At 48.4% G+C, this 20350-nt stretch overlaps 1 long non-coding RNA gene and 2 pseudogenes across 1 annotated transcript; 1 reads left to right on the top strand and 2 right to left on the bottom strand.

The window, feature by feature from the left end:
- DNM1P44 (dynamin 1 pseudogene 44) lies at positions 1240–2104 on the bottom strand (annotated as a pseudogene).
- Positions 2105–2177: 73 nt separating this feature from the next.
- LOC103171574 (uncharacterized) lies at positions 2178–5541 on the bottom strand. The gene is made up of 4 exons (NR_120379.1): positions 5417–5541; positions 4594–4718; positions 3338–4325; positions 2178–2250 (listed from the first exon to the last, which is right to left on the bottom strand). It is a non-coding gene; the product is annotated as an uncharacterized LOC103171574 (long non-coding RNA).
- Positions 7285–15292, top strand: UBE2Q2P11 (UBE2Q2 pseudogene 11; annotated as a pseudogene).

Here is a 20350-nt window from a genome sequence, read left to right as displayed (position 1 = left end):
AGGATTTAAAAAAAGTCATGGGATAAAAATAAAAATAAATAAAAGCAGGCCCCTGTCAGCATAAGCCTGGAGAAGTGGGTCTGGAGTCTTCACCCCCACCATGTCCCTACAACCCCTCCCCAGTCAGCCCTTTACCATTAGGGTAGCAAGACAAGACCCCTGTCTAATGGAGGGAGACAAACAGACCCTTTACCACCTTGACCAAGGCTGAGTCCTTACATTTCTGGATGATGATGTTTGTTATTTAAGAGCCAGAGGTTGGTGGAGTTGGTTTGTTTGGAGGAGGTCTGACGGCCTTCTTACTCTCACCAAAGCAACTTTTCCCTCAGGGGGGCTCCCATCTTCTTACTCAGAGAGGCAGCTGAGGCGGGACAGTGGAGTTAACTGTAGACCAGGCCAGGGCACAGGCTGCTGGGGGTGGCCCCCCTTCCCCCGTGTACATACTGTAGCTGTGTAACATTCTGTATCGTACCTAGCGGAGGTTGCAGCTGGCATATGAGGAAGAGGTTCTTATAATTATTCGCGGCTGGGAAACTTATTTATTGCTAGCATAGGAGTGAGGAAGCAGGCGGGGATGGGGTCATGGCTGCCTGGTGATGGGACTCCTGTTTTTTGTTTTTTGTTTTTTGCTTTTGATTTTGGAATAAATGGATTTAGCCATACTGCTCGGCCTGGTATGTTCCCATTTCCCTCACTGGGTCCTGCAGTTTGTCCCACTGAATGAGGAGCCCCAGAGTGTCTCAGCATGTCCAGCTGGGCTGTTGGGGACCTTCCAGGCCTGTTACCTGTATGCTGCCTGGTGACACCTGGTGGATTTCATGGGGACTGCCATGGCGCCTACGGAGTACACTCTGGCCCTGACAGCCAACTGGTTGAGAAGCCTGATCTAGCTGTGGCAGGGAAGACAGATACCAGTGCCCAAGGGCACTGACTTCCATCCACCCCAGGTGTCTTCCGTTCTGTCCCCCTGCCTCCCTCTCCTGTCTGCACCGGGTGGCCTGTCTGTCCCTCCAGAGTGCCGGCTGCCCCGCAGGTTCCCTCCAGGCTGAGTTCAGGGCCCTGTCCCCTAGTGGCCAGAGCCGGCTTCACAGGGTAAGAGCCAGCTAAGCTCCAGGGACTTTCCAGGAAAAGTGTCCCTTGAAAAGGGTGTGACCTTTTCACTGCTCCCAACAGCACCCTAAAAATGGCTTGGCCTTTTCCCTCCCCTGAGCTCCATAGAGAACACAGCCAGCAGAGGACACATTCTCTGTCATCCAGAAATGGGTTTCTCAGCCGAGGGACAGCAGGACTGGTAGAGACTGTCAGGCCACACAGCTGCCTGCACAGCACCGCCATGCTTGGCCAGAAGGGCGGGAGGGATGGCGGGGGCTGGCTGTCCACAGGCCGTGCATGTCCCGGAAGCTCACTGGAGGTGGTGCACTTTGGAGGGGCGATGTCAGGAGACAGCTTCCTCTTGCTGGGCTATAAGACTCCACAAGCACAGCACGGGGACTGATTCCCAGTGCTAGAGGCGAGGCAGTTGGCCACGTATATATATGTATATATGTGTGTGTGTGTGTGTGTGTGTGAGAGAGAATTTATAGCTATTTATAGAACAGGGCAGGGGCATACCACAGAGGGGGCACAAGTTTCAGCAACGGTCAAACCTGGACGTGTCAGCTCACCACTACAACAGACTAAGTCACAGAAGAAGGGGGCTGGCTTTGGGGCTGGGGGAGCCACTGTCAAGTCACAGGACACCCACCCAGGCAGGCTTGGAAAGGGAGGTCTCTGAGAAGAGGAGGAATCTGTTTAGAGGTCGAAGTGGGGCCTGGGGCTCCCTGGATGGGATGGACTTGCCTGACCCAATCAGCTGGCAGTTGGAGAGAAAGCAGAGAGAAAACGGGTTAGAGAAAAGCCAGAGCTGGTGAGGCAAGTGCAGAGTATGGGTGCGCTGCAGCAGCTGTGGAGGGCCGGGGAGGGGAGGGCGTAGGTGTGGGCATGGCAAGGTTCCTGGAAAAGAGGGGCTGGAAGGGAAAGGGGAGGAAGATGGAGGGAGAAGCCGGAGCTTCATAGGTAGTGCCTGGGGACTGCGGCGGCCCTCCCCACCCCACACACGCTGGCCTCTTTCATGGCACCCAGGCAGTCCACCCATAGTTCAGATGAATGCTCAGCCCCCTCGGGCTTCTCTCCTCTCTGGTCACCCTGTCTTCCAACTCACGGCCCAGGGCCACCTCTTGCTTGGAGAGCCCCATCCAACAGCCACCAGACCTGATAGAGAAGGAACACTGATTGAACCAAAATGGTGGAGCTATACGGGATGGCTGGCTGGAGTGAATGCCAGAGGCCCCTCTGGGCCATCAGAAAGCCCAGGGTCCTCTGAGGGACCCTGGGGAAGGCAGGGAGGGCAGGTAGCCAGATGCCATTGGCCATAGACTTCTAAGTCTAACAGGGCAGCCTCAACTGGTTGGCGGGGGGCTGCAGGTTACATAGGTGAGGCTGGGCCCTTCCTGCTGGGAAAAGCAGAAGAGGGAGACTCCGCGGCAGGAAAGGGAAGTGAGCTCTCTAGGTGGAGCTCAGCTGGGCCAGCAGCACTATTGGCTGAATATCACAGGCGACCCCTAGAAGCAACAGGCCAAGGTGCGTGAGCCTGCTGGCCAGCAGTAGTGCTTCAGCAGGGGCCAGGGACCCTGCCTTCAGTCGCACGCTAGCAGCTATCATGGTACCTGGGAGGGAGGGAAGGGGGCTGTGTGTCCTTCCATGGCCTATGAAGTGTGTTGTGGGATGACCGCGTGTATAGGACTCTCAGGCTTTTATCCTAGATCACCACTGGATTGCTGACAGATAGAGGACGTGGGACCGTGACTATCACCCCTAATCTGCAGTGGATTTGGCTCTTGGCACTCCCAGGCTGGGAGCTGGATACCTGCCCTGGCAGCATGACTCAGACTGCATGACAGGTACGGCGTGCCCAGGATGATGTGCCCAGGCCTCTGGCCGCCTGAGTCCAGCCCCCCACACAACCCCCTCCAAGCTCCCAGCCCCTACACCATAAACCATGAGCTCTGTGCCCTCTCTGATGGTTCCACATCTGCCACCTTGGGCATGGAGCCTGTTGTAAGAGCCCCCAGGCTCAGCCATGGAGACCTTCAGCAGTGGCACTGAGTCCCGTGGCTCACAGGGAGCAAAGTGAGACAGCCAGCAGCACAAGGACAGAAAGAGGAAAGAGCAAGTCTGCAGCTCCAGAAGGGAGGGGCAGGGAGCCTGGCTCTGAGGCTCCAGGTATGCCCCCTGTGTGGAGCTGGGGCAGCGGGGCAGGCAGACCATTCATGCAGCAGGCAGTGAGGCATGTACCTACCATGGCTGACGCTCCTCAGGGGCCACTGATAGTGATTCTGAAAGACAGCTTCAAATCACATGGCAGGTCACATGCATGGGTGGGGCAGGCCTGGGGGTGGGGGACACACACACGCACATGCCGGAGTGTGCACACACATGCTGTGAGGCCCCACGGCCCACATGCACACGCTAACACACATGCCCACAAACAACACGCATACGTCGCCCTCCCCGCCACCTCCCAATGCCCAGCACCCTCACCGGCCGGCACGTGCCACATGGATCTGGGGCGTGCAGCCACACGGCACACTGAAGCACATGGGTGGGCAGAGTCACAACACAGATGCTCACCCGCACACAGAGGCATTTGCACCAGCTCCCTGCACACTCGTGCCTGGCGTGCTCAGAGGACCACCCATGCTGCTCACGGAGACAGGGCTTGCTCACTAATGTCCGGCTGTCATTTCTCCACCTCAGAGCCTTCCATGGCTCCCTACTGCCTACAGCGTTGAATCCCAACAAGTCATACTCTTTGGACTTTGAAGGTTCTCCACCCTGTGCCCCACCCTCCCCACAGAGCTCTTCCTCATTCTGTCTCTGTTCCCTGCTTTGGCCAGTGGCTATCCGCGATGTGACCCACACTACACCTCTGCCCACACTGCAGCTCTTTACCCAGTTACCCTCCAGTTCCTCACCATGTATGCCTACCTCAGTCATGCCCCAGACTGCATTGAAGCCAGGCTGCCTTGAAGAAGCTCTCCCAGACTGCCCTTTTCCCCAAGGCAGGGTCATGATTTACCAAAGGTTTCGTGTGTGTTAGCAAGACTGGAGTCGGAGCAGGCATCAAACTTTACATCCCATATGTCACACCTCACCATAGATCTGGGTGCCAAATAGCCTGAAGGGTCTGAACTCACGCTGGAAGTTAGCAAAGTGCTCCTACAGCCGCATCTGCAGTTAACATAGTATCCCTATGGCCACTGTCTCCCTTGATCCCCACAGCCATCCTAGGAGAAAGGCAGAACGTCATTTGCTAGAAGGGATGCTGAGGCTCTGGGAGGGAAAGGGACTTGCCTAAAGCCCCAGGGTGAAGCAGCATCTCTGGACTCTCATAGACAGCCTAGAGCTGCCAGCATTCCCTTAGGATCTGTGCCCTCGGGCCTGGCTTAATTTTTTCCTCTGCAAAGAGCCATCTGTAGGGCCAGAGGCTGGCAAAGCCTGACTCATTACTGGACGCCAGTTCCTTTGCCTGACTTTCAGTGATTTCTACCTTACCCTGGGGTTTTATGTTGCTTGTCTCAACACTGTCACTTCTCATTCCTCCACAAGTTGAATTGCTCACTCCAGCCACTTGAAGCATGCTCTTCTTAACACAGTTAGCTCTAGGCACATGGTTGGTGCTAAAAAGGAAAAAAAAAAGAAGAGCATTATGTCAATTTCATTGATTAACAAAAGCGATGGCTCCACTGCAAAGCAAAGTTGATACTCCTGGGCCTCTGAGTTCAAGAGCCTTTTAGACAAATGGCTCTGAGCTAAAACATGATCATGCATGCATATGCATCTGTCTTGGTCTGATGAGATAATCTGGATACTTGCTTGTTATCCTTGAGCATTTTCCTGCCTCATTAATGTATGTGTAGCCACCACAATAATAATCATAGCTAATAATGGCTACAGCTGAGGGCTTTCCTGAACCAGGCAGTGGTTTTAAAAACTTTAACCCCTAAAGCTGAGGACTTTCCTAAGCTAGATAGTGGCTTTGAAAACTTTAAAGTTTTCACATAGACTGTCATTGAATAATTTCTGTTTTTCAGATCAAGAAACTGAGACTTACTATCATATTTGGGATTAAGCTAAAAAAAAAAAAAAAAAAAAGAAAAGAAACAGAGGCTGAACGCTGTCAAGTATTTCACAGCCAGCAGGAAATCGGAACTTGAACCCAGGCAGTCTAGCCCTGGGATCCTTTCCCCTTACCCATTATCCAGTGTTGGCTACACAAAACTAATGAGTACATATTTTCAACTATAGTTTAAGTGGGTGACATATTTTTCACTATATTTTATGTAGGTGACTTTCAGTTTGGGGGTATTCTACTTACACAATCTATTGAGCTGGATATTAACTGAGAGCAAACAGAAACTAATGAACTCTGAAAAACATAAAACATGAGCAACATGACGTCACTGCAAGAGACAAAACAGCACATAGCCTTCTTGTGACTGTATTTTGCTGACAGTCCATGAGCTGATAGCCTGAACTCAGCAGTGCTGTTCCCTTGGGAGACACACACACACACACACACACACACACACACACACACACACACACACGAGTTGGTGGTTTTCTGCCCCCCACCCCCACCCCAACACACACACGAGTTGGTGGTTGTGCTGCCCGGAGCCTCCAGTCCGCGAGTGTGAAGAACGGACCAGATGGGTCCAGCAGTGCTGGGTCAAGGCGAGGAGGGGGCAGCCGGAAGCGCGCGCATGCTCTGGACTCCTGCAGCCGCCGAAACGGGTGCGCAGGGGGCGCGCGGGTTGAGGGGTGAGGGGCGACGGGTGTGAGGGGCGAGAGGGACGGGAGCGGGGTAGGGGCAGCCCTTTCCCAGGCGGTAGCGGGGACTGTGGTGCTGTTGCCCTTTTAAGCTGCGGCTTGACAGGAGCAGCGTCTCCTGTCGGTGGAGTCTGTTACAAGGGGAGCAGCCGCCCAGGCCGCCACACAGCTCCCCGCAGAGGCCTCGGTGCCCCTTGCCATCTTCCAGCCCTACTCCGACTAGAGTTGAGGCATCAGGGAGAGGCGGAGCTGGGAGAGCGCCGCCGAGAGGTCCCGCGGGTGGTTGCGGCCGTGACAGCGGCTCCCGACGGGCTCACCTTCCGCGCCCCTCCCGCCAGAGGTGAGAGTAAAATGTCCGTGTGAGGGTTCAAGGCCAAGCTGAGGTTGTTGGCCTCTATCTTCCACAAGAACCAGGAGCCGCCGCCGCAGCTCACGCTCCACTGCAACATCACGGTGAGGCGCCCAGTGGCGGCCTCACGGGGCAGGGCGAGGGCGGAGAGGAGGCGCCCAGAGTCCCGAGACAAAGGGGAGCCTGCCCGGGAGAGGCCCCGGTTCCCCAGGCGGGGCGAGCGCGCCCCTTTCTCCCGCGTCTGGCCCGCCCCGCTGTGTGAGGCTTGCGTGGGAGGAGGGGGAGGGCGCGTCTCTCTGGCTCCTTGCCGCGGGGCTGGCTTGGGGGCTGCCGGCACCTCTCGCCCCAGTCGCTGCGCCCTGAGGTGGGAGCCCGCGTCGCCCGCAGACCTTTTGGGGCCCATGATCGCCCTCAGTCAGCTAGCCTGCTCCCCTGGACCGCGACGGGGCGTGGCAGGGCGGCTCCCGCTGTTGTTTGAGCCCAGTGAGGGAAGGGGAAAGGCCTTTAAGATTTTCGGTTTTTTGGCCGGGCGCAGTGCTCATTCCTGTAATCCCAGCACTATGGGAGACTGAGGCAGCTGGATCTCCTGAGGTCAGGAGTTCTAGACCAGCCTGGCCAACATGGTAAAACCCTGTCTCTACTAAAAATACAAAAATTAGCCGGGCATGGTGGCAGGCGCTTCTTGAGATGGAGTCTCACTCTGTCGCCCAGGCTGGAGTGCAGTGGAGCGATCTCGGCATACTGCAGCCTCCATCTCTTGACAGTCTGTGGGTTCAAGCGATTCTCCTGCCTCAGCCTCCCGAGTAGCTGGGATTACGGGCGCCCGCCACCACGCCTGGCTAAGTTTTGTGTTGTTTAGTAGAGATGGGGTTTCATCATGTTGGCCAGGCTGGTCTCGAACTCCTGACCTCAAATGACCCATCTCTGCCTCCCAGAGTTCTGGGATTACAGGCCTGAGCCACCGCGCCCAGATCCAAGGCCCTTAAGCTTAAATGCCTCGTTCTTCAGTCAGGTTTTCCTTGTTCCCGCATGTTCAGCCAATCGTGTTTAAGGAGAAACTAACAATGAAAACGGACTCGTTGATGGAGGAAAAGTTGGAATGCAGCCTCTGGTGCTGTTTGAGCGATCCCTCTACCCCGGGTCGCTGCTGTGTTCTGGAAAGGCGCATTGTACCCTGGATGCAGCAGGTAAGAGTCCTGTCCAGGTGCTCTGCCCGCTTTTCCTTTCAGGCTTCTGTATCAGCTGTTTTTCCCCTGTAGAATGTGCCCCTGACAGCCACCCCCTAACCCTACCCAATTTGTCTTTACGTGTCTGACCATCAAGGCTCTTCTGGGTCATATTTAATTCATGCTGATATTTCCCCTTCCTCCCCTCTTTAGTCCTCACTATTTTTGCTTTGGTCATGTTATGCTATATTCTGTAAGGCTTTAAAAAAATTTTTATGGTGGCAGGGGAGAATGTTTTATAATTATGCTTTGTGCTTTTTATCTTCCACTCAATAAATGCTTGGTAAATATTTGTTTTATTGAATGTATGACCCTATTCTAGCTATATTGTGCTTGAACAAAAACCTTAACTGCCTAGTAAGTTAACTGCTAAGAATTTGTCAGAAGTGCAGACATAACATCAAGAACTTGTCATGGATAGTACAAAAACGTCTCTTAAGGGCTTGGTGGAAGCCTGTAAATTGACTTCCTATGAAAGAGAGTGTAAGAAGTGAAAATGTAAAGCATGACTGGAGAGCCAGAGTGATGAAGCCAGGGTCCCTTTCTCCAGATCCTTTGTAACAGTGTTATGTGATCTCTTCTAGAAGATCGTTCTGAAAGATAATGCCAACTCGGAACCTAGGAAACCATCCAGTGGGTTTCTGCAGCTTAGGTGTTTCAAATCCTCATCAGCACGTTTGTTTTCTCTGCCTCAGTTTGCTTACAATGATGTTCTCAGTAACTACAATTGCTGTCTTTGAATACGTAAGCATTTTTTTTTAGGTGACAGGGATATATGTGCATTTTTATTTTACCAAGTGTTAGAATTTTGACTCTGCTTTTGTGGGCTCTGGGTTAGCTACTTGGTTGTTGTAAAATGATTAGCAGGGAAAGCTGTGTGTGTGTGCGTGTGTGTGTGTGTGTGTGTGTGTGTGTGTGTGTAAGTTTTTGTTGTCAGAGGACTTAGAATTTTATTTTATATGGTAATTCTGTCAATTTACTTTATTCTCCACCCCACATTTATTGAACAGCAAATTATGAAAGTAATGTGTCCCATAAGCAGCCTTCAGAAGAATTACAACTGCTGTATATCTGAAATTCTTTTTTTTATTTTTTATTTTGAGATGGAGTCTCACTCTATCACCCAAGCTGGAGTACAGTGGTGCAATCTTGGCTCACTGGAACCTCTGCTGCCCAGGTTCAAGCAATTCTCCTGCCTCAGCCTCCTGAGTAGCTGGGATTACAGGCACCTGCCACCGCACCTGGCTAATTTTTGTAGCTTTAGTAGAGACAGGTTTCACCATGTTGGCCAGGCTGGTCTTGAATTCCTGACCTCGTGATCTGCCTGCCTCAGCCTCCCAAAGTGCTGGGATTACAGGTGTGAGCTACCGCACCTGGCTGAACTTTCAAGAAGAAGTTTGTGCATCAGTTTTCAAAAAATTATGATATCAAAAGATAGCTGTGCCCTACATTTGGAAAGATACAAAAACTGAACATACTGGCAGGCAGTTTTGCTTGCTGGTGCTTGAGATAGAGGCACACATTGGTCTCAGTGGAATTATGGAGAAAAATAGATAAAGTTATTTCTAAATAAGACCAAAAAATCCTTTTCTTAAGCAGTGACAGGTAAAGAGGTTGTCTTGACTAACCTTGAATTGTGTTGCCCTTGATTGAGACAGTTTTATGGTGGGATGGTAGTGGTGATAAACTTGCTGGAAATTTGTCTGCTTATAGTAACCTTTGTGGTAGCTGTCACAGACAACTTCATCCTCACAGGCCTTGAAATTAGTATAAAACTAACAGAATGGAGGAGAAACAAAGGACCTGAATAATTAGATGCTTAGATAATTGTTCCGTGTTTTCATAACTGGTGAAAAAGAGCAGTATTAGAAGCACTTACACATTCTATAGAAGGAACACTGCCTGAATTTATATTGCGATTTTTGAGCACCATTAACTGTATAAAAACAGGCATATTGTAGGTAATATTTTAAAGACAAACAGAAAATTTATCTTTTCAAGATGGATCTAAAACTTATCAAAATTACAAAATTTAAAATGTGATTGAAAAATATTAATGCATAGGTTTAAATATTGGTCATTTTAAATGTCTTTCAAAATAGATTGTCTCTTAAATATTCAACTGAACAAACTTTGAACATGTTGTAGAGTTTGTGCCGAAGGTTAAATTTCCTGGGGTGATGGATATTTTGTAATATGGAAAACAAAACCTTCTTATTTTAAGAAATTTAGAAAACTTTTAGGCAAAACTAGAAAATATTACCTATGTAATTCTACCACTCAGAAGGTGCCACTGTCAGAAATTTGTATCTTTCCAGTCATCTGCTCACCTCTTTTCTCCTGTGCTTGTATATGTTTCCTCTCCCTTAAAAATCAGATATTTGTTTGTAATCTGCTTTTTCACTCAACAGTATTGTAGATCCATGTTATAACTTACTCCTCTACATTGCCTTCAGTTATTGTGTGCTTTCTGTTGGATGACTTTACCATGTAGTCAGTCATGTTTTCTGGTACTGAATACATACGGGTATGTGTGTGTGTGCGTGCGCGTGTGTGCGTATTTTTTTGTAACTTAACTAATGCTTTAGACATCAGTAGGTAGACGTAAATCCTTGAAACCTTCCACGTGGTGACTTTCAGTTCTCATTGCTGAATTTGTTTCCAGAGATGGAAGAAATTATATTGTATGGGAACTTTTTTTTTCTTTTTTTTTTTTCTTTTTTGAGATGAAGTCTTGTTCTTGTCACCCAGGCTGGAGTGCAATGGCGTGATCTCACTGCAACCTCCACCTCCTGGGTTCAAGCAATTCTCCTGCCTCAGCCTCCCGAGTAGCTGAGATTACAGGCGCATGCCACCATGCCTGGCTAATTTTTGTATTTTTAGTAGAAACGGAGTTTCACCATGTTGGCCAGGCTGGTCTTGAACTCCTGACCTCAGGTGATTTGCCCACTTCAGCCTCCCAAAGTGTTGGGAATACAGGTGTGAGCCACTGTGCCCAGCCTTTTTTTCATCTCAGTACCAGCTTTTATTTATCAGATTGGTAAAAATGTTAGAAAGTGTGCAATGAAATGGGCATTCTTACAGTCATGGCAAAAAATGTAATTATCTTTGACTTTCTAGAAAGTAGTTTGGCTTTCTAGAAACTTGTTTGAATTCTCCCTGTTTAGGCAGGATGAATTCTCACTACCCCAAGGTGGCCAACCTTGTCCCTGTGATTCCATCTCTCCCAGAAAGAGAGGTCTAGTCTCAGGGAAAACCCAGATTTGTTTGGCTTAGCCCATCTGACAGCTAATCACTGGAAATGGGGTGGGCTGGTAGAATGCTTTGGTCAGGTTTTGTGTTGAGAGAGAGGTGGAAAGATGGGAGGGAGGTAGCAAAACTTGCCTCAGTGGAACTATGTAAGTTAATATAGAATGGCAAAGGGATGTTTCTTCCAAGGAAGAAATTCTAGAGAAGGAAGAAAGTGGAGGGGAAGGCAGCAGTTCTCCAAGTTTTGGGGTCAGGATTCCTTTACACTCTTAAAAATACATTGAGGTCCCAAGGAGCTTTGGTTTATGTAGGGTATATCTATTGGTATTTATCACTAGAAATTAAATCAGAAATATTTAAAATATTGTTTAAAAGCTCACCACATATTGTTATAAATGCTTTTATGAAAAGAAAATTTCTAAACCCAAAGTAGTACAGTCTTACATCTTTTGCAAATTATTTTGATGTTTGATATGTCATTTGCATGATGTTTGATATGTCATTAGCAAATTGATATGTCAGTTTGCTTCTGCATTCAATTTATTGTGTGATATTTTCTTGAAAAAATGTGAACAAAGGCCAATCTCATACAGATAACCATTTTAGATCATTGTGGATATATATATTTTTTTGAGATGAGGTCTTGCCCTGTTGCCCAGGCTGGAAGGTAGTGGTGTGATCACAGCTCACTGCAGCCTCAGTCTCCAGGGACTAAGGTGATCCTCCCACCTCAGCCTCCAGAGTAGCTGGGACTACAGGTGTGTACCACCACACTTGGCTAACTTTTTGTATTTTTTGTAGAGACAGGGTTTTGCCATGTTGCCTAGGCTTCTTTTTTGATACTCCATCAAATCTTGGTTTTTCTTGAACTTTGGATCTTCCACCCTTGCATGATATTACAACATCGTGCATTGGTCACTTATAAAATAGTGGTTCACTAAGATCTTCTACATGTTGATACATTTGTACAGTATCAAAATACATTCATCAGTACCACCATCAATCTCATCAGAATACTTTTGGAAAGCGATGGTGGGCATAAGTTTTCTAAAATTCTAATTTTTTGTTCAAAAGCTTGAATTTTATTAGTAATTTTGTTATTGAATTTTATTATAGCCTGTCTGTTGTTTTCCTTGAAATGACAGAATCTCATGTTTTGAGAAAATATCTGCCAGAAATGCGAGTTAAAATAACATTTTTTGTCAGTCAGCCTTTCAAGTAAAAATGGTATTCCATTAAAGTGGTTAATTCACTTCATGACTTAGTCACTCAAGGGTTTTTCCTCAGGCAGCCTGTAGGAATGCTCATGTATACTTCCCATTTCATCACTTGAAATATTAAAAAGATATATTCAATGATTTAGATATAGTAAAATATTCACTGCTTCATCATAGACATTCTTTTTTTTTTTTTTTAATTTTCGAGACAGGGCCTTGTTCTGTCACCCAGGCTGGAGTGCAGTAGCGTGATCACAGCTCACTGCAGCCTCAACTTTCTGGGTTCAGTCAATCCTCCTGCCTCAGCCTTCCAAGACGCTGGGACTACAGGCATGCAGCCACTGTGTTCAGCTAATTTTTGTATTTTTTGTAAAGATGAGGTTTCACCAGGTTGCCCAGGCAGGTCTTGAACTCCCGGGCTCAAGGGATCCCCCTGCCTGGGCCTTCCAAAGTGCTGGAATTACAGACATGAGCCAAAATTCCCAAACTTATCATAGACATTCTTAAATGAAACTGACCTTTTGTTGCCCTTCCTTTTTATTTTTATTTTTGGAGATGGAGTTTTGCTCTGTTGCCCAGTCTGGAGTTACATAGGTGCAATTTCAGCTCAAGGCAACCTCTGCCTCCCAGGTTCAAGTGATTCTCCTGCCTCAGCCTCCTAAGTATTTGGTAATACAGGCATGCACCACCACACCGAGCTAATTTTTGTATTTTTAGTAGAGATGGGGTTTCACCATGTTGGCCAAGCTCGTCTCAAACTCCTGACCTTAAGTGATCCGTCTACCTCAGCCTCCCGAAGCACTGGGATTACTGGTGTAGGCCACCATGTCCCACCCACCCTTCCTTTTTAAACCTTTCCTGTGCATAATGAAGAATACCATGACTACTAGTAGTTTGGTGTTACTGCTTTTGTTTGTGCTAAAGTACCAGCATTTTTACCCACCATTGTATTTGCACACTTACAGCAAATGTCACCATGTTAGTATTCCTGTCAAAATAGTTTGGACTTGGGGGTCTGAGGGCCGCACTTTGGGAACCATTGAAATAGGTACTTAGACGTACTAGATATCATATCTTTTCATCTACAAGGTTTTTAAAAACTTGATTTCAGTTAATTTTTTTTTGTAATTTTTAAAATATGGTTTTGAGGGGTTTCAGTCCAGAGCAACAACACGTATTTTATTTTGCTTATGCTGAAGTTTACTAGAAAATACTAACCTAACAGAATGAAGTCCTAAATCTAATTGAAATTTCCTTAGCCAAAAGTAAAAAAAAACGAAAATTAAAAGTGTAAAAATAGTCCATATGGTGTATTCTCAGTGTATGCTGAAGAATTTATAGAAGAAAATGCAATACTGAGGAACTGGTGTTCTTTAAGAATAGGGTTGGCTGGGCGCAGTGGCTCATGCCTGTAATCCCAACACTTTGGGAGGCCGAGGTGGGTGGATCATCTGAGATTAGGGGTTCGAGACCAGCCTGACCAACATAGAGAAACCCCGTCTCTACTAAAAATACAAAATTAGTGGGGCATGATGGCACATGCCTGTAATCCCAGCTACTCAGGAAGGCTGAGGCAGGAGAATTGCTTGAACCTGGGAGGTGGAGGTTGTGATGAGCTGAGATCGTGCCACTGCGCTCCAGCCTGGGCAACAAGAGCGAAAACTCGGTCTCAAAAAAGAAAAAAAAGAATAGGAGTAATTCTGAAGAGTTTCTTTTAGCCTGTAAAGAGATTTGGAACACAGTAAGAGAGGAATGAGAAGAATGAGAATAGTAAAATAAACCATTATTGAAGAGATATACTGTTAATTATGTCCTCCATCAATACAACTTGTTTTTCTTTTTGTTTGTTTGTTTTTTGAGATGGAGTCTTGCTCTATCGCCAGCCTGGAGTGCAGTGGACATCTCGGCCCACTGAAACCTCTGCCTCCTGGGTTCAAGTGATTCCCCTGCCTCAGCCTCCTGAGTAGCTGGGACTACAGGCACCCGCCAGCGCGCCCAGCTAATTTTTTTGTATTTTTTTAGTAGAGATGGGGTTTCTCCGTGTTAGCCAGGACGGTCTCGATCTCCTGACCTCGTGATCCGCCCACCTCGGCCTCCCAAAGTGCTGAGATTAGAGGCGCGAGCCACCGTGCCCAGCCCATCTTGCTTTTCTTAAAAAGGAACCTTCAGTAAATATTTGGTTTCTGTGGCTTCAGCTTTAACTCAGATTACAGTTTTCAAAGCAGTGTTGCCTAAAGTTGTTTGTGCAAAATTGTTTTCTGTGACTTGAACCTAGTTATTCTGAAACTAATATATAATAATAATGGTTTTTCCCCAATTTATAATAGAGAACAGTACAAAGTAACAGCGGGAACGTCTGTTAGTGGGTGAAAGCACATAATGCATAGTTCATTAGCTTTTTTAAAAAATCACATGTAATTGTGTTACAAAAATATATGTATAGTAATGGCATTTACTTGGTATTACTTGGTTTGTGTGATAGAATAAAATATTAGAATTTTATGGTGTTTGAGTTAGTTATCTATTGCTCTGTAACAAATTGAGCAGCTTAAAATAACAAACATTATCTCAGTTTCTGTGGGTCAGGATTCTGTCCAGTTTACCTTGGGTTCACTGGCTTGGCCTCTCACCAGGCAGTGAAGGTGTTGGTGGTGGCTGTGATCATCCCAAGGCAGGATAGGGAGAGAATCTGTCTCCAAGCTCAGGTTGGCAGGATTCATCTCAGAGGCTGCTGCACTGGGCCTCCGTTTCTAGATGGCTATTGGTCAGAGGCTTTTTACAATACCTTGTCACGTGGGCCTCTCCATAGGGCACCTCATCACATGGCAACTGGCTTCCATCAGAGGGAGCAATGGAAAGAGCAGGAGAAGGGTGACCAAGGCAGGCATCGTAGTCTCCTTGTAGCCTCACCTCAGAAGCGATGTTACTTTTGCTGTATTCTCTTTGTTAGAAGTGAGTCACTAGGTCGAGGGGTGGAATTTTACAAGGGTGTGAATGGCAGGAGGTGAGGGTGATCAGGGCCATTTAGAGGCTGCCTACCAGTGTTGAAGAAAACTGTTGACTTCTATGAGCTGTAGCAGCAGACAGTGCTATGCAAGGAGAATGGCTGTCTCAGAAGTCCAGCTCCTCACATGGGTTTAAACGTGTTGCCTTTTCCCCCATACATTTTGTTTAAATCCATGGTCATCTTGCCATTTAGTGGTGTGGTTTAATTGCATATTTGGGTTAGTCTGTATGTAAACATTTAACATAGGTGTCTCTGGGTTAAACAGGAATCCTATTCATCTTCTTCACCGATATGGTTTGTGGACTCTGATGAGCCAAATCTGACATCAGTTCTGGAACGTCTAGAAGATACTAAGGACAACAGTTCGGTAAGGAAAGAAACCAAGCTATTTTCTCTTTTCCTCATGAACATTATATTTAGAAATTAAATGTTAAATGATAATATTATATAAAAACATGATTAATAACTATAATCTTAGAGGAATTAAAGTCTGGGTATTTTAAGTCCTCCAAATCTTATTTACTACCTGGTTTCTCTTTATTATTTCCCACATGTATAATCTTAGTTTAGATTAGCAATTCGGGATCTCTTTTTCCCTGAATTCTAACCATTAAGCCAAGCAAGCATTTTGGGTGGAGACCACTAGCCAAGGTGGGAAGTAGAAAGAAGACCAAGGTGGAAGTGAAGGGAGAGATGGGGAGAATGACACCAGAACTAGTGGGAGGGAATTGCCTTTTCTTTCAAGGGTCTGTAAGTCTGCAGTAAAAGTCAAAGGTATTCAAATAGGAAGTTTTGTTTTTGTCTTTAGTATATAAAGAAGCATAACTTTCCATTTTGCAAAAACTTTAGAAATCTTTTTTCTTGATTATAAAACTTATAAGCAACCATTATTGAGAAGATTAGTAAAATATAAAAAAATAAAAATCTCACATAATTTCTCTACCTAATATAAGTACTGTTGACATGATAGCTAGTTTCTATCAGTATGTATTGCTTCTTTGTTATCAAAGTACTTATACCCTTACAGATATGTTTAAATAGTTGAGGTCATATTCTATAAATATCTATAAATAGCTGGGTGCTGTGGCTCACACCTGTAATCCCAGCACTTTGGGAGGCCGAGGCAGGCAGATCACAAGGTCAGGAGTTTGAGACCAGCCTGGCCAATATGGTGAAACCTCATCTCTACTAAAAATACAAAAATTAGCCCGGTGTGGTGGCAGGTGACTGTAGTCCCAGCTACTCGGCAGGCTGAGGCAGGAGAATTGCTTGAACCCAGGAGGCAGAGGTTTCAGTGAGTCGAGATCGCACCACTGAGGTCCAGCCTGGGTGGCAGAGCAAGACTCCATCTAAATAAATAAATTATGTATACACACACATACACACACCCTCATATATATATACACACATATGTGTGTGTATATACACACACACACACACACACACACACACACACACACATACACCTACACATGACCGATTGCCTCGCCTCTAGCATTGGGAATCAGTCACCGTGCTGTCCTTGTGGAGTCTTGTGGCCCAACAAGAGGAAGCTCTCCCCTGACATTGCCCCTCCAAAGTGCGCCACTTCCAGTGCGCCCCACTGTCATGCCCGGCCTGTGGACAGCCAGACCCTGCCATCCCTCCCACCCCCGACCAAGCATGGGGGTGCTCTGTAGGTAGCTGTGTGGCCTGACAGTCTCTACCAGTCCTGCTGTCCCTCAGCTGAGAATCAAACCCATTTCTGGATGACAGGGAATGTGTCTTCTGCTGGCTGTGTTCTCTGTGGAGCTCAGGGGAGGGAAAAGGCCAAGCTATTTCTAGGGTGCTGTCAGGACCGATGAAAAGGTCACACCCTTTCCAAGAGACACTTTTCCTGGAAAGCCCCTGGAGCTTAGCTGGCTCTTATCCTGTGATAAGCCAGAGGCTCTGGGGGGTGAGGGAGCAGAAACCCTCCTCACCCCAGCCAACGGGGACCTGTATACCTCTGCCAGTCTCTCACTTGGCCTTGCTGCTGTCCTCTGAGACTGCCTGTTCCTCCCTCTCTGTGACTCTACACCACCATCACCTCCTCCAGGAAGTCCTCTGGATTGACTCCTAGCTTATTACATCTTTATTGTGCAGACCCTCTCCATTCAAAGCCCCTCTTCAACTGCCCCCCCCCACTACCTCCAAGACAGAGATTCTGGGTTCTTGCAACTGCAGCCCCTCAGAGAGTGTAAGAGGGGCAGAAAAAGGAGATCAGGAGGTGAGGGAAGCAGCGCTGTCAGAGTTTCCAAAGCCCCGGCCAGCAAGGCCTCAGAGGCCTCTGTTGGAGTGGGGGCCTCCCTGGCTATGCGCTCCAGCTGCACAAGGCAGCCTCTGTGAGCCTCTCCCACTCAGCCCTACAGGAAGCAGCAGGGCCCAGCCTCAATGGACCCATTCAGACCCCAGCGCTCCGGAAAGTACCTCTGCTTCCTGCCACCATTCCACTCTGGCCAAACAGGCTCTACTCTCTTCTGATGGGAGGAGGCCGCAGGCAGGTGGTTCAGTGGTTAGGGCCAACCATCTACTTCAGTTCCTGTCTGGCCCAGATCTCTGACCTTGACCATGCCCTAGTGGGTGTATGTATACCTTTAGTGCAAGGGTGGTGTGACAGTTAATACTGAGTGTCAACTTGATTGGGTTGAAGGCTGCAAAGTATTGACCTACTGGAAGTGTCTGTGAGGGCATTGTAAAAGGAGATAAACATTTGAGTCAGTGGGCTGGGGAAGGCAGACCCACCTTTAATACTGGTGGGTACCATCTTTCTAATCAGCTGCTAGCGAATATAAAGCAGGCAGAAAAACATGAAAAGGTAAGATTGGCCTAGCTTCCCAGCCTACATCTTTCTCCCATGCTGGACACTTCCTGCCCTCTAACATCGGACTCCAGGTTCTTCAGTTTTGAGACTCGGATTGGCTCTCCTTGCTCCTCAAACTTGCAGACAGCCTATTGTGGGACCTTGTGATTGTGTAAGTTAATACTTCATAAACTCCCCTTTATATATCTATCTATATCTATATCTATTATCTATATCTATATCTATATCTATTATCTATATCTATATCTATATCTATATCTATATCTGTCTATATCTCCTATTAGTTCTGTCCCTCTAGGGAACCCTGATTAACACAGGTGGGTAGGCACAGGGAAATGTGCCCCCTTCCCCGTGGGTGCTGGGTAGGTAAATGTTTCGCAAAGGGCTTTCTTGGGGAGAGGGAACCCTGATTTTCAGTATTTGCCTCTTTTCCTGGTATAAATATTCCCACTGTGGGCAGTATCACCTGCCTCTCAAAATTCCTGAAAATTCAACAGTTGGCTCCTGGCAGCTGCTGTGAGCCGTTCCAGCCGGTGACTGTGGTGGCTCCATCCTGCAGGGCCATGTGCCCCCACCCCTTGTGCTATGGCCTCCCTCACTTTAGTGTGCTGTGTTTTGCTCTTAGGAATCAATGTCTTTGCAGATAAGGCACCCCAGTAGCTGGCCACCACCTGCAGTTCCCTGGTCTGTCTCTTGCTGGCACCAAGCTGTGCTGTGCCTGCTGAGACTGCTGGGCCACCCCCGTGCATATGGTCTGCGGGGCTTACTTGATTCCCTTAGCTTCCCAGCCAAGGTGCTGGTGTTGCCAGCAGTGCTGGCAGGAGGAGGGGATAACTAGAGGGGATTTAACTCAACCCGAGGGGCTCTTACGGGATCTTTCCTGGATATCCCTCCAGGTGGGACTGGCTGCCCTGAGGGTATACAAACCTCCAACTCCTCCAATGGCTGAAGCTACTTCCTCGAGCAGATGGCAGCTGGCTCAGGCTGGCTAGGGACCAGTGCATGTGAGGTCGGTGCTGGATCACCCCATCAAGGCCATCAGCCTGTGCTTGTTCTTGGGGTTTGAGGGAAACCCAACAGGGATGAATCACAGTTTTTAACCTGTGTTTGTCTGCCCCCCAGCCCTGGACATCTGCAGGCAAAGTTAAAGTTATATTTGGCTCTTATCACCGCAAAAGGCATAAACCAGAAATTATGGCATCGGGTTGGAAGTCAGGGAGGCTAATTTGGGGAAACTGCCTGGAGGAAGCAGCAACTCAAAAGAGGAGGAGTCCCACTGTGGGACAGAACAGGCCCTGCATAAGAACCACTAATCCCAGGCAAGCCCAGACATGGCCTTCTGCCTGGGGAGGCCCTCTTTGGCCTGCTCAGCAGACCCTCAGCCCCTTCTAGGCCCTGTCTTCAGCCTCAGACTGAGTGGTGGCCTGGGGAGGTTGGGAGCTGAGCTGTTCTCATCCCTGGTTCCTTGGCCACGGTGGAAACAATGGGGCCGGATCTGACTGCTCAGCGGGGACTGTGAATAGCTCTCTAGCAGGAAGCAACAGCAGGGGTAGTGGAGGAAGTGTGGGCCCACTTTGGTTTGACACTGCATATGGTCCCCATCTGGCCTGAGAGCCTTTACTCCTTGGCAAACTCAGGCCAATAAGCTCCTGCCCCCACCCTCAATGGCAGCTGGAAGAATGGCCTGAGGGAGAAGCAGGGATAGGTGGGCTGCAGTGACATCACCCCCAGATCCCAGCCGTGGCCCCAGCCAACCCATGGAGGTGGGGCATGGCACGGCAGGTGCTGCACAGGAGCCCAAGCACAAGAGCACTTAGGAGAAGGAATCTGAGCAGGGATCGATCTGGCCTGGTGGTGATTCTCCAGAAACTCCATTCCTCAGGGCTGTGACCACCAAGCCAGGTGATCAGGCCAGTGATGTTTCCCTTTGGGCCAGGTCGGGGAGCCAGACCTGGGAGGGAGACTCCTCTGGGGCCCAGGGGAGGTGAGTCAGAGCTGGCAGAGGCCTCTGGCTCCAGGAACCTCCAAGGAGGAGACCTGAGTTGCTGGGAATTTCTGGGTCTGACCTCCTGCCAAGTCAAGGTCTGGGCTGGACACAAGGTGAGGCTGTGCCTTCTGGTGCCAGGACCAAGGAAATGCTGGGATCTGGGCAGTGCTCAGAGGCAGCACCGTATGGCAGAACCATGAGGGTGCACCAGCACGGACCCCTTTCTGCAACCCACCCATCCCTCCCTGCAGCACCTCGCCTCCTCCAGGCAAGAATCTGAGCCTTGACCACAGCTCCCTCTCTCACACAGCTTCCTTCTTTGGTTAGAACCACCCGGAGGTGACTGTGGCCATGGCTCTGACTGACATAGACCTGCAGCTGCAGTTCTCCATGTCCCAACCCGAAGCCCTCCTTCTCCTGGCAGCAGGCCCAGCTGACCACCTCCTGCTGCAGCTCTACTCTGGACACCTGCAGGTGAGTGACGTCCCCCTGGGATTGGGGCGAGATTCCTTGTCTAGCTTTGAGTGAACCCCAGCTGGCTGTTGACCTTGTGTAAGTCACTTTTCTTGGGGTCTCAAGTTCTCCACTGTGGGATGGGCAGC

This window comes from Homo sapiens, chromosome 15 (assembly GCF_000001405.40).
Source record: "Homo sapiens chromosome 15, GRCh38.p14 Primary Assembly".
NCBI classification, from domain to species: domain Eukaryota; kingdom Metazoa; phylum Chordata; class Mammalia; order Primates; family Hominidae; genus Homo; species Homo sapiens.
The sequence above is the reverse complement of the archived record's forward strand: the minus strand, read 5'-3'. Positions and strand labels throughout refer to the sequence as shown.